Source organism: Homo sapiens, chromosome 7 (assembly GCF_000001405.40).
Source record: "Homo sapiens chromosome 7, GRCh38.p14 Primary Assembly".
Classification (NCBI taxonomy): Eukaryota; Metazoa; Chordata; class Mammalia; order Primates; family Hominidae; genus Homo; species Homo sapiens.
The window spans coordinates 123996600-124010506 of record NC_000007.14 but is presented as its reverse complement, the minus strand read 5'-3'; the positions used below and the strand labels follow the sequence as shown (position 1 = coordinate 124010506).

The following is a 13907-nucleotide window of genomic DNA, read 5'->3' as shown; positions in this document are numbered from 1 at the left end:
TGGACACTAAGGTGATCCATTACTACTGATTAGTGAATGATCCACTCCCCTGGGATCAGTCCATGTTGGTATACAGATAAATTCAGATTTAATCTTATCTTTTTGTATTCATCCATCTTTGAATTCTCTCTTTATTGGCCAATGAAATAGTGATGCAAAATTTTCACACAGAGATTAAGTAGGTTAATTTAAAATTAAATATGTAAATATTTAAGCTGACTCTTTAATTCACTTCCCATTAAAAATTTGCTCTTAAATTAATGAAATCCATAGCTATGATTTATCAGGGATGAAAACTTATTTTATAAATCACAATAAAAAATGCCATTACTTTTTTTTTTTTTTTGAGACGGAGTTTCACTCTTTTTGCCCAGGCTGGAGTGGTGCAATGACACGATTTCGGCTCACTGCAACCTCCGCCTCCCGGGTTCAAGCGATTCTCCTGCCTCAGCCTCCCAAGTAGCTGGGATTACAGGAGCCTGCCACCACGCCCGGCTAATTTTTTGTATTTTTAGTAGAGACGGGGTTTCACCATGTTGGCCAGGATGGTCTCAATCTCTTGACCTCATGATCCGCCCACCTCGGCCTCCCAAAGTACTGGGATTACAGGATTACAGGCCGCGCCCGGCCGCCATTACCTTTTCCTAACATGTTTTCTCTGTTGTATATAAGACTGCACTTTCCCTCTTCCTTCCCATGGGCCAGATCTAATTTAATTTAAATACCAGCTGCTTCTTAATAGAAAATTTTAAGTATATTTTTACCTATTGGGGTGCATTAGGCCATTTCTGCATTGCTATAAAGAAATACCTGAGACGGGGTAATTTATAAAGAAAAGAATTTTAATTGGCTCATGCTTCTGCAGGCTGTACAGGCATGGTGCTGCCATCTGCTCAGCTTCTGGGGAGGCCTTAGGGAGCTTTTACTCGTGGCAGAAGGCAAAGTGGGAACAGGTGTTTCACATGGCAAAAGCAGGAGGAAGTGAGAGAGTGGGGAGGGGAGGTGCCACAGACTTTCAAACAACCAGATCTAGATCTCATGTGAACTCAAGAGTGAGAGCTCACTTATCACCAAGGAGATGGCACAAGCCATTCATGAGAGATCTACCCCCAAGATACAAACATCTCCCACCAGGCCCCACCTCCAACACTGGAGATCACATTTCAACATAAGATTTGGAGGAGACATCCAAACTATAATGGAGTCAGGAATCACTTTAGCTTCCATAAATACGCTCATTTATCTCAAAATTCTACACTTGTAAGACTTCTTTTAAAGTTTGATTAGAATTATACCATAATTCCAAATTGATTGATGGGAGTAGCTATGTATTGAGTATCCCCTCTGTACCTATAAGGGAATAAGAAACAGAATCCTTCACAAATTCTCTGTTTAACCAAGCATAGGGATAAACACTTAACTGGCATAGAGATGGAGCGTAATGGAATGTTCCAATCAGAAGCAAGGAGGTAGAATCAAGGTAGGAGTGGTGAAACCGGCGTAGGGGTCAGGCTATGAAGAGATATGTTTACCATGCTGAGGTCAAATTTATCCTGAGTATATTGGGTATTAATTGAAACAGGAAAGTGAACCATCTGTAACCAGATATGGTTTTAGAAAAATTATACCTATTAGTAGGGGGACATAGTAAATGAAAGAGAACCTGGGAAGTCACTGTAATATCGAAGTAAGAAATGCTGAGAGCCTCAGTTAAGCTTATGGCAGAAGAGAATGTTATTTGGAAAGTAGGCTCTGGAAACATCCTGGATATGGCAAAAGAGGCATAGGAAGTTTCACTCGCGTCTGTGTGAAGAGACCACCAAACAGGCTTTGTGTGAGCAATAACGCTTTTTAATCACCTGGGTGCAGGCAGGCTCAGTCCAAAAAGAGAGTCAGCGAAGGGAGATAGAGGTGGGGCCGTTTTATAAGATTTGAGTGGGTAGTGGAAAATTACAGTCAAAGGGGGTTGTTCTCTGGCAGGCAGGGGAGGGGGTCACAAGGTGCTCAGCGGGGGAGCTTTTGAGCCAGGATGAGCCAGGAGAAGAAATTTCACAAGGTAATGTCATCAGTTACGGCAGGGACCGGCCATTTTCACTTCTTTTATGGTGGAATGTCATCAGTTAAGGCAGGAACAGGCCATTTTCACTTCTTTTGTGATTCTTCAGTTACTTCAGGCCATCTGGATGTATACATGCAGGTCACAGGGGATATGATGGCTTAGCTTGGGCTCAGAGGCCTGACAGGAAGGGTTGTGACTTCAAGATTTTTAGCTTTAAGTATATGACAGATTAAACAGTGCATCATCCACATCCTGTTCCTTCTTTCTCGTTCTCTTCTTTTTTCACGTTTTTAGCTAGCTTCTTATCCTAAAACGTAGTATTGTCAAAGCTGATAGAATTACCTTATGTAAAAATATCTCATGACCTTTCTGATTCTATAGTATTAGATAGCTTGCATAAGTTATTTTTCTTGTATTTTATTTTAATAAACACTCACTTGGCCAGATGCTGGTTTGTCTCATCTTCTAAGGTGTTTTGTATATATTGTGTGATATTTAAAGACCAAGGGTCCCAGACAACCTGACAAGGTAGTGGTTGAGGGTGAGGTGCATTGGAGAAGCCCCTCAAGGTGTCACATTGGGCCACCTGAGATGACAAACCTGCTCCCTGGAGGGGCTTTGGGGCTGCCCATGGGGCTTTCCTTCACCCACTCCTGGCAAAGTACAGCTGTGCAAAAGATATTTTAATTAGCACAATAATCCTAATGTTTTCACACCAATTTAGAGCATAATTGAGAAAGACAAAGCAACTATTGGCAACTGCAAATTAAGTGGCTTCAGAGGTAATCTAAACATAAAGCAGGTCTGGGCAATTTTAGTCTCTCCCTAGGAGGACATAACAGAATTGAAAGATTGGTGCTGGCAAGTGCCAGGACCTGGGGTCAGAAAATAAGCACAAGCAGCGCTCCTGAGCAAGGTAAACAGACGGTTTGTGCCTCACCCTCTCTTATCCTCCCGCAGACTGCTGAAGACTATCTTTCAAAGTGTGTATTTTTAGCAAGACAGCTAAGACATCCCACCTAATTGCAGCTTGCAGGAAAGCACTGTGATCAGAGCTAAGTTATGGATACTTTTAGAGTAGGGCACAGAGGTGCTGGGTAAAGTCCCAAGTTTAATGGCTGAGAATCCTTCAGTGGATCTCTATTTTTTTAACCCCACCAAGCATGTATACTAGAGCCTGTTACAGACTAACCATGCTCAATTCATTCACCTACATGGGAGTTATGACAAGGGAGAGTCCTGGTACCTGGTACTTCCACATTGTCCAAACAAAAAGTGAAAAATCCGTTTAGCCATAGGCTGTAGAAGTGTAAACAAGAAGAAAAGATTTAGTAGTAGACTATTTCCTACTGGATTTACAGGTGTATATAAACACAATACATATAAATGTATAATAGTAACTTTCATGTTTTAGTCCAAGTTTTTTTTTTTATTACTTTGCATGGGATATTAAGTGATTTATACAGCTGAACTTTTACATTTTTTTCACAGACAAGCATATCTTAATTTGCTTAAAATTTTCAAACAGAAATTTGCAAGCCTTTTACCTTTTAAAATATCCTTGCTTTCTTCTTAGATATACTTATTATTCAGTGGCCCATAAGGAATGATTACATTCGCATGTTATAGTCATGTGTTTTTAAAATATGCCCTGCTATAAATGTAAAAAGTATGGATATAGTTTAACTCTAGGAATACTAATTTGGAATAAAACTGATCTGTGTATTTTTACCATTTAAATATAGATACGGTCTCAGAGCAAGATACTTTAGTGCTCTGTTTTAAGGTTCAAATAAATTAGTAAACTTTTATTTTTTATAACATTTCATTTCTCAAATGCATTTGCCATACATATGGCACAAAATTCAGAAACTATAAAGGAGAATGAGAAGAAAGCAAATAAAATCAAATTGAAATATTTTGACATATTATTGAAATATATTTAATACTGTATTAATATATGATTTTAATGCTTACATATTTTATGTAAGAATTTGTGGTTAGAACTGAGGAAACTGCTTACGCTTCAGCAAAAAGTAACTAATTGAGAAATCTTAAGGTTAGTTAATTTCTTAATTATTAGACATTTTAGTGGAGTTGCATGTCATTTATATATCTTGCTACTTAGGCATTGTAGTAGATTCAGTTATTATCAATAAGTATTGATTCCCTCCTTCCCCCCTACTACATGGGTGGACTGAATTTTCCTGCCTTTTGACTTTGGCTTTGGCCATGTGACTTGCTTTGATCAATGAGACATTAAGAGGAAGTAAGGATCAAAGTTTGAAAAGGAAAAGCACTGGCAAAATTGTTTGTTTTCCTGCACTCCTGCTATCCCCATGAGAACAGGACTGGGCTAGACTGGAGGTAAAAGGAACAGATCTGCCTCTAATGAGCTATGTCAGTCAAGCCCAGCCAAGCCTGGACACATGAGAAAAATTAAGGAAATGTTTCTGGAGGCACTGAATTTGGAGGTAGTTTGTTACACAGCATTATTTTGGCAATAGATAACCAATACAACCACCAATAGGAAATGCAATGAACAGACGGCCTGCGTTTCAGTTCCAGTTCTGTCATACACTAGCTGTATGACCTTTGCACATTTAATCTATTTGATCCCATATTCACAGCCTGTTCAATTTGCAGCATAAAAACAGTATGTTAGCTGGACGTGGTGACACCCACCTGTAGTCCCAGCTACTTGGGAGGCTGAAGTGCGAGAATCACTTGAGCTTAGGAGTTTGAGGCTGCAGTGAGCTGTGATTGTGCCACTGCAGTCCAGCCTGGGTGACAGGAAAAGACTTTTAAAAAAGGTGACAGAAAGAGAGATTGGGAGAGATTGAAAGACAGAGAGAGAGAGAGAGGAGGGAATGTTCCAGGAAGGTGGTTTCTCTAAGAGAAAAAATAACTTTGGACTAATTGGTAAGCTTAAGAATGTGGAAATTGGGACGTTAGGCTCCTGCACATACCGTTAGGAATGAGGCTGAATCCAGGGGGCTAAGCAGCAACAGCCCACAGGCTCCACTCCCACCTCCAGTGCACCTCACAAGGTAAGACCCACTGGCTTAGAATTCCAGCCAGCTATCAGGAGCACCATTGCACCTCCCTAAGAAGGAGCTCCCAGGGGGAGGGGCAGGCAGCCATCTTTGCAGTCCAGGCACTTTAGCCATTCCAGCCTTCAGGCTTTGGAGAATTGGAGCCAACCCAGGGAGGAAGGGATTCCCCAGCACAGCACAGCTGCTCTACCAAAAAGTGACCAGTCTGTTGCTTTAAGCGAGTGCCTGATCCCTTTCCTCCTCACTGGGCAGGACCTCCCAACCAGGGCCTCTAGCCACCCCCACCCAAGCTCTCTAACTGACAGAGATCTGAATTCCCCCTGGGACAGCACTCCCAGACAGAGGGGTGGGCCACCATCTTTGCTGTTTGGGTGACTTAGCCATTCCAACCTTTAGGCTTTGGAGTGTCTGAGTTAACCTGGGGTGGAAGGGATCCCCCAGCATAGCACAGACTCTACCAAAATGTAGCCAGACTGCTGCTTTAAGCAGGTGCCCAATCCCAGTCCTCCTTACTGGGTGGGACCTCCCAACCAGGGTCTCCAGACACTTCCTACAGGTGTCTTTGGGCTGGCAACAGGTTCATACCTTCCTGGGACAAAACTCCCAGAGGGAGGGACAGGCTGCCTTCTTTGTTGTTTTTTAGACTTCACTGGTGACACCTCTGGGTTCTGGAAAATCCAACGTGACCAGAGACTGGAGTGGGCCCCAAGCATACCGCAGCAGCCGTACAGAAAAGTGGTCAGCTGTTATGTGGGTACCTGTTCCCATATCTCCTCACCAGGCAGGTCCTCTAGGCCTGGGCCTCCAGCCACCACCTACCAGAGCTATTGAGCCAGCACCAACTCAGGAACTCCCTGGACAGAGCATCCAAGGGCAACTGAAAGCCTCTTGGCCCCTGCCTCTGCAGAAGAACTGCCCTTGCCACCTTTGGACTAACAAAGGCGCAAAGGCCCTTTGTGTCTTATCCACACCTCCAACAATCTGCAGTCAACCCAAAGAGAGAAGGCCAGTTCATCTCCCATGGGTGCCACACCCCCTACCACCCATGGCTCATCACCAGACAGGGAAACCCTGGCTTGGGTCCATAGCACAAACCCTCTATCCTGGACTGACTGCACTGAGTGATTGATGATCTGCATCTCTCTGGGGTGGGGCCCCCAGGAGTCAAGGAAATGACCCTTGGCCACAGCCACTACTAAGGTCCCTTGCTTTGCTGCCTCTAAGCTGGGGAAGGAACATAAACACTAAGATTGCCCTAGAGCTGCAGTGGGCAGCTCAGGAGTGCCAAGTCATGAACTAGAGCCAGCACTCAATGGGGAGAGGAATCCACACTTTCAGAGCACTGAGGGGTAACACAGCTGCAACTGTGAGGAAATATAGGGGAGCCACACAACAGAGCAAGAATCTACCAACTGACCAATAGGCCTAAGTGTCACCTGCTGGATCATACCCCAAAGCTTCCACACCAAAAATACCTTACTAACATACCCACCTCTGAAACCAGAGACAAGAAGTCAGCTTCAAATAAAGACCCTACATAAAGCCTCAGCCCAGTGAAAAGATCCAGAAGTCTATTGACTGTACTCAATCTACACTGCAGTTAAATGAACACTCACACACAGAGAAAGAATCAATGCCAGAACTCAGATAACTCAAATGGCCAGAGTGTCATATGTCCTCCAAATGACCACACCACTTCTCCAGCAAGAGTTCTTAACCAGGCCAAACTGGCTGGAATGGCAGAAATAGAATTTAGAATGTGGACAGGAACAAAAATCATCAAGATTCAGGAGGAGGATGGCAAAACCCAATCCAAGGAAAATAAAAATCACAATAAAGCAATGCAGGAGCTGAAAGACAAAATAGCCTGTATAAAAAAGAATCTAATGTATCTACAGAGCTGAATAACAGAATGCAAGAATTTCACAATGCAATCACAAGTATTAATGGCAGAATAAACCAAGCTGAGGACAGAATCTCAGAACTTGAAGACTGGTTCTCTGAAATAAGACAGTCAGACAAAATAAAGAAAAAATGTTAAAAAGGAATGAACAAAAACCTCCAAGAAGTATAGGATCATGTAAAGAGGCCAAATCTACTAATCAATGGCATCCCTGAAAGGGAAAGGAGGAAAGGAAACAACTTGGAAAGTATATTTCAGAATATAGCCCATGACAACTTCCCCAACCTTGCTAGATAGGCCAACAGTCAAATTCAGGAAATACAGAGAAATCCTGCAAGATTCTACACAAGAAGATTATCCCCAAGACATGTAATTGTCAGATTTTCCAAGGTCAAAATGAAAGAATGTTAAAGGCAGCTACAGAAAGAAAGGGCAGATCACCTACAAAGGAATCCCCATCAGGCTAACAGTGAAACTCTCAGCTGAAACCCTATAAGGTAGAAGAGATTGGGGCCCCATATTATTGGCCCCAAAGCTCCTTTAGCTGATAAAGAACTTCATCAAAGTTGCAGGATACAAAATCAATGTACAAAAATCACTAGCATTCCTATACACCAACAACAACCAAACTGAGAGCCAAATCAGAAAGGCAATCCCATTCAGAATTGCCACAAGAAAAATTAGATGCCCAGGAATACAGCTAACCAGGGAGGTGAAAGATCTCTGCAATGAGAATTACAAACATTATATTCAACAGTCTTAAAAAAAATCTTCAACCAAGAATTTCATATCCAGCCAAACTAAGCTTCCTAAGTGAAGGAGATATAAGATCCTTTGCAGATAAGCAAATGTTGAGGGATTTCATTACCACCAGACCTGCCTTACCAGAGATCTTGAAAGGGGCACTAAATATAGAAAGGAAAGGCTGCTACCAATACAAAAACATACTTAAACACACAGACCACTATCACTGTAAAGCAACCACACAAACAAGCCAACATATAACCAGCTAACAGCACAATGACAGGATCAAATCCATACATATCAATACTAAACTTGAATGTAAATGGACTAAATGACCCACTTAAGGGACAGAGTGGCAAGCTGGATGAAAAAGCAGGATCCAATGGTCTTCAAGAAACCCGTCTCACATATAGTGACGTTCACAGGCTCAAAATAAAGGGATGGATAAAAATGGAAAACAAAAAATCAGGTATTACAATCCTAATTTTAAACAAAACAGATTTCAAACCAACAAAGATCAAAAAAGACAAGGAACATTTTTTTCTCTTTGATCTCTGCAATGAGAATTACAGAACACTGCTCAAAGAAATAAGAGAAGACAAAAACAAATGGAAAAACATCCTATGCTCATGAATAGGAAGAATCAATATCATTAAAATGGCTATACTGTCCAAAGCAATTTACAGATTCAATGCTATTTCTATCAGACTACCAATGACATTCTTCACACCACTAGAAAAAATTATTTTAAAATTTTTATGGAATGAAGAAAGAGCCCCAATAGCCAAAGCAATCCTAAACAAAAAGAGCAAAGCTGGAAAAATCATGTTACCTGACTGCAAACTATACTACAAGGCTACAGTGACCAAAACAGCATGGTACTGGTACAAAAACAGACACATAGACCAATGAAACAGAATAGAGAGCACAGAAATAAGGCCACACATCTACAACCATCTGATCTTTGATAAAGCTGACAAAAAAAGCAATGGAGAAAGGATTCCCTATTCAATAAATGGTATTGGGATAACTAGCGAGCCATATGCAGAAGACTAAAGCTAGACCCCTTCCTTACACTACATACAAAAATTGACTCCAGATAGATTAAAGACCCAAAAGTAAAACCCCAAACTATAAAAACCCTAGAAGATGTATGTGAAAGCCTGGATGTCCAGGTAGAAGCCTGCTACAGAGGCAGAGCCCTCATGGAGAACCTCTACTACAGGAGTATGAAGGTGAAATGTGGGTTTGGAGCCCTCACACAGAGTCCCCACTGAAGCACTGCCTAGTGGAGCTGTGAGAAGGCCACAGTCCTCCAGACCCCAGAATGGTAGATACACTGACAGCCTGTACCATGAACCTGGAAAAGCCACAGGCACTAGCACTTGAGAGCAGCTGTGGAAGCTGTACCCTGAAAAACTTCAGGGAGAGAGCTTCCCAAGGCATTGGGAGCTCATCCCTTGCACCGGTATGCCCTGGATGTGAGACACAGAGTCAAAAGAGATTATTTTGGAGATTTAAAATTTAATGACTGCACTGCTGGCTTTCAGACCTTCATGGGGACTACAACCCCTTTGTTTGGACTGATTTCTCTCTTTTGGAATGAGAGTCTTTACTCAATGCCTGTACCTCCATTGTATCTTGCAAGTAACTAACTTGTTTTTTATTTTACATGCTCATAGGTGGAAGGGACTTTCCTTTTCTCAGATGAGAATTTTGATTGTAGAATTTTGAGTTAATGCTAAAATTAGTTCAGACTTTGAGGGACTGTTGAGAAGGAATGACTGCATTTTGCAATGTGAGAAGGAAATGAGATTCGGGAGGGGCCAGAGGTGGAATGACATGGTTTGGATTTCTATCCCCACCTAAATCTCATGTCGAATTGTAATCCCCAGTATTGGAGGTGGGTCCTGGTGGGAGGTGACTGAATCATGGGGATGGATTTCCTCTTTGGTGCTATTCTCATGACAGTAAGTGATCACAAGATTTGGTTGTTAAAAGTGTGTAGCACCTCCTCTCTCCCTCTCTTCTTTCTGCCCTGGCCATGTAAAATGTGCCTGCTTCCCCATCACCTTCTGTCATGATTGTAAATTATCTGAGGCCTCCCCAGTCATGTTTCCAGTACAGTCTGGGTAACCATGAGCCAATTAAACCTCTTTTCTTTATATATTATGCATTCTCAGGTATTTCTTTATAGCAGTGCAAAAACTGACTAATATTGTACCAATCAGGTAGTTTTTCAACCCACGCCCCTCTCCCTCCCTTCTCTAGTAGTCCACAATGCTCATCGTTCCCACATTTATGTCCATGTGTGCTCAATATTTAGCTCCCACTTACAAGTGAGAGCATACAGTATTTGGCTTTCCATTCCTGCATTAATTCACTTAGGATTATGGCCCCAGCTGCATCCATGTTACTGCAAAGGACACGATAGCATTCTTTTTATGGCTGCATCATATTTCATGGTGTATATGTACCACATTTTCTTTATCCAATACACCAAGTATGGGAACCCAGGTTGATTTTATGTTTTCACTATTGTGAATAGCATGGTAATAAGCACATGAGTGCATGTTTATTTGGTAGAATTATTTATTTTCCTTTGGATATATATCCAATAATGGAATTGCTGGGTTGAATAGTAGCTCTGTTTTTAGTTCTTTGAGAAATCTCCAAACTGTTTTCCACAGTAGCTAGTTTATATTCTCACCAAGAGAGTATAAGCATTCCCTTTTCTCCACAGCTTCACCAACATCTGGTTTTATTTTTTACTTTTTAATAATAGTCATTCTGCCTGGTGTGTGATGATGTCTCATTGTGGTTTGGATTTGCAATTCTTTGATGATTAGTGTTGATGCGAATTTTTTCGTATGTTTGTTGGCCAGTCGCATGTGTTCTTTTGAGAACTGCCTGTACATGTCCTTTGCCCATTTTTTAATGTGTTTGTTTTTTGCTTGTTGATTTAATTTCCTTATAGATTCTGCATATCAGACCTTTTTAAGGTGCATGGTTTACAAATATTTTCTACCATTCTATAGGTTGTCTGTTTCCTCTGTTAATAGTTTGTTTTGCTGTGCAGAAGCTCTTTAGTGTAATTAGGTCCCATTTGTTCATTTGTGGTTCTGTTGCAGTTGCTTTTGGAGACTTAGTTAAAAATTTATACCTGATTATCACCTACACCTAAGAAACCATCAGGATAAATCTTACTGTCCCCTAGATTCCTATATTCCTTGGTGACTCACAAGAAATCCAAGTTTCTAGGTCTTCCCTTATCTCCTGGATTCTTATCCTCATAAAGCTAGTCTGACTTCACCTTCTACCCATCCCTAACCTCCCAAGCCCTTTCACTGTACCCTTTGGAAGCCATAATTTGTCATCAGTAAAACTTCACAGATTCTCAAACTCTTCTTTGAATATTCTATGCCCCTTCTTGCTCCACTGAACTTGACTTTCCTCTAAAAACACAGCCTCCCCTGCAGCCATCTCAGGATGTGGCAGTTTTTCTGCGGCATTTCATGTGCCTCTTGGCTGAAAGTGTGGTAATAACCTCCCAGCCCTTTGTTCATATTTCCAAACCTTTGTTTCTTTTTCTTACCCATTTTATCAGCAACCTTGATGATTACGCCATCAGAGCAGCTTCCCATTCCCTCCTCTTGCTGTAGACATCTGCTGTCTTGCCAGGCTCCCCATCACCACCGTCAATGCTACTCAAGTCGCAAATCCTAGTGGTTATAACAGCCCCGTAACTAATACAACCAAGATCCTCACCTCTCTGTCTTTTGGCCTTTTAATGTCAGTAATCCTGTCCTCTTGCTAACATGATTACATCTTAGACCAGCTAGTCTCTCCCAAACTAATTTTCATCATCCCCTCTCTCTAGTTACCACCTCTTTTCTTCTTTTTTTCTTTAACTACTAATAATTGATCATTTATTATTGGGGCCTAAAAAATAAAAATGGGTCTTCAAAAACAGACTTTTATATATGGATATGCTCATATGTGGGGCCAGCTACATGGGTCTATGGCCTCTGCAGCAATCACAGTCCCATGTTTACACAGTCTCTATGCTTCATTTAATGCTCAGTTGTTACTGTCTTGAAATTATTTTATTTCATTTCTTTTTCTTTTTAGAGATGGGGTCTCACTATGTTGCTCCACCTAGAATGCAATGGCTATTCATAAGCATAATCACAACACACTACAGACTCAAACTCCTGGCCTCAAGTAATCCTTCTGCCTCAGCCTCCTAAGTAACTGAGATCACAGGCATACTCCAACATGCCCAGCTCTTGAAATTCCTAATAATGTTTGAATGAGTGGCCCTAAATTTTTCTTTTGCACTAAGCCCCACAAATTAGGTGACTGGTCCTGATACATGTGAGCATGAGAGGTATCACCTCTTATTTTTGCACCTCACTCCTCCAACCTAATTCTTGTCCTCACTCCATTCTACTCAGCTTGGATGACACGATCCATCATCATAATTAGTGCCTTGTATGCATTCCCTCACCACTCTTACTTGTCTCTCCCTCTTGTTATACATCATTTCCAAAATTTCAAACGTGGAGAAATCCACTGTCTGCTTATTTCATGCCTTCATTCGAGCAGCTAATGAGAGATAGAATGGAGCTCAGAGGCCTTATATTAAGTTTAAAACCAGACTGGGCCTCAACGCTGACAGGCAATACAAATAATTTTCCCTAGTCAAGTAGTTCTCTTACTATTTCACAGTTTCTCTTTTTCCCTCAGATTTCTGATACTGCTAGCCCCTTCTCACATCAAATGAAGACCTACTTCTTATGAACTGAGAAAATAGAAGCAATTAGATGCTTATAGTAAATAGAAGAATGACAGTAGAAGACGTCTCATCTACCTACCACCAAACTTTCAACCTCACTGCATCATGAATACAAATTCATGTATTCTGGCTTTTCTCCTATTTAAAGAGTAAACATCAGGGTTCCAATATAAGCCCAACCTCTCCTTGCACACTGCATCCAATCACTTCTTACATACTAAAGGATTTTGTACCTACATTAATCTCACTACTGCCTGCATCATCAAATTTCCTTCTCCATTGGATCATTCTTATCAGCCAACAAATGTACTTTAATAGCTCCCTCCCTTCTAAAACACACACACACACACACACACACACACACACACACAAAACAAAACTTCCCTGCCTTCACAAATCTCCTACAGCTTTTGTTTCTCTGCTAGCCTTCATAGCAAAACTCTCTGAAAAAGATTCCCACATATGCAGTCTTTACTTCCTCATTGTTCTTTTTCTCTTGAAGAAAAGTTTTGTCTCTACCACTCAAGGAAATTTTTCTTTTCACTGCCACAAGTGACCTCCAGTTGCCAAATCAGTGGTCAATCAGTCTCATCTTCCCTGACCCTGCAACAGGGCCAGCAGCGGCACTCAGCACTGTGCTCTCCTGTTCCTCCTTTTTGCAGATTTGCAACAGTTTGTACTTGACTGCAACTTTCTTTCCAATGTGTCCTAGAAGATCTTCCAGGTTTTTTTTTTCTTTTTTTTTTTTTTTTTTTTTTTTTTTTTTTTGAGACGGAGTCTCGCTCTGTCGCCCAGGCCAGACTGCGGACTGCAGTGGCGCAATCTCGGCTCACTGCAAGCTCCGCTTCCCGGGTTCACGCCATTCTCCTGCCTCAGCCTCCCGAGTAGCTGGGACTACAGGCGCCCGCCACCGCGCCCGGCTAATTTTTTGTATTTTTAGTAGAGACGGGGTTTCACCTTGTTAGCCAGGATGGTCTCGATCTCCTGACCTCATGATCCACCAGCCTCGGCCTCCCAAAGTGCTGGGATTACAGGCGTGAGCCACCGCGCCCGGCCCCCTTTTTTTCTTTTTAAAGCACACATATTACTCCTTTACTAAAACTTTGGCAATAACGCCTTCTTTTTTTTTTTTTTTTTTTTTTGTTCACTTAAAAATTTCTTACCAAGTCCTACAAGATCAGTCTGGGCTGTATGTCTTCTGTTGTCTCTGTGCAAAGTAATGATATAGGAGTTAAGAAGAAATCACTTAGGCAGAAGCAAGTGTATGGGGGTCCTCGGTAAGGCTTTTCTTTTTAATGAAAAGCAGCCCCAAATCATTTTCTAACAAAGAGCAGCCTACAAGCTGGG

The 13907-nt window shown here is 41.6% G+C and overlaps 1 long non-coding RNA gene across 1 annotated transcript in view; it reads right to left on the bottom strand.

Moving 5' to 3' along the window:
• LOC105375483 (uncharacterized) overlaps positions 1-13907 on the bottom strand; it is a 33025-nt gene that overhangs the window by 17140 nt on the left and 1978 nt on the right. Inside the window, exon 3 of the long non-coding RNA NR_133947.1 lies at positions 11358-11484. This is a non-coding gene — a long non-coding RNA (uncharacterized LOC105375483). The remainder of the gene's footprint in view (positions 1-11357; positions 11485-13907) is intronic.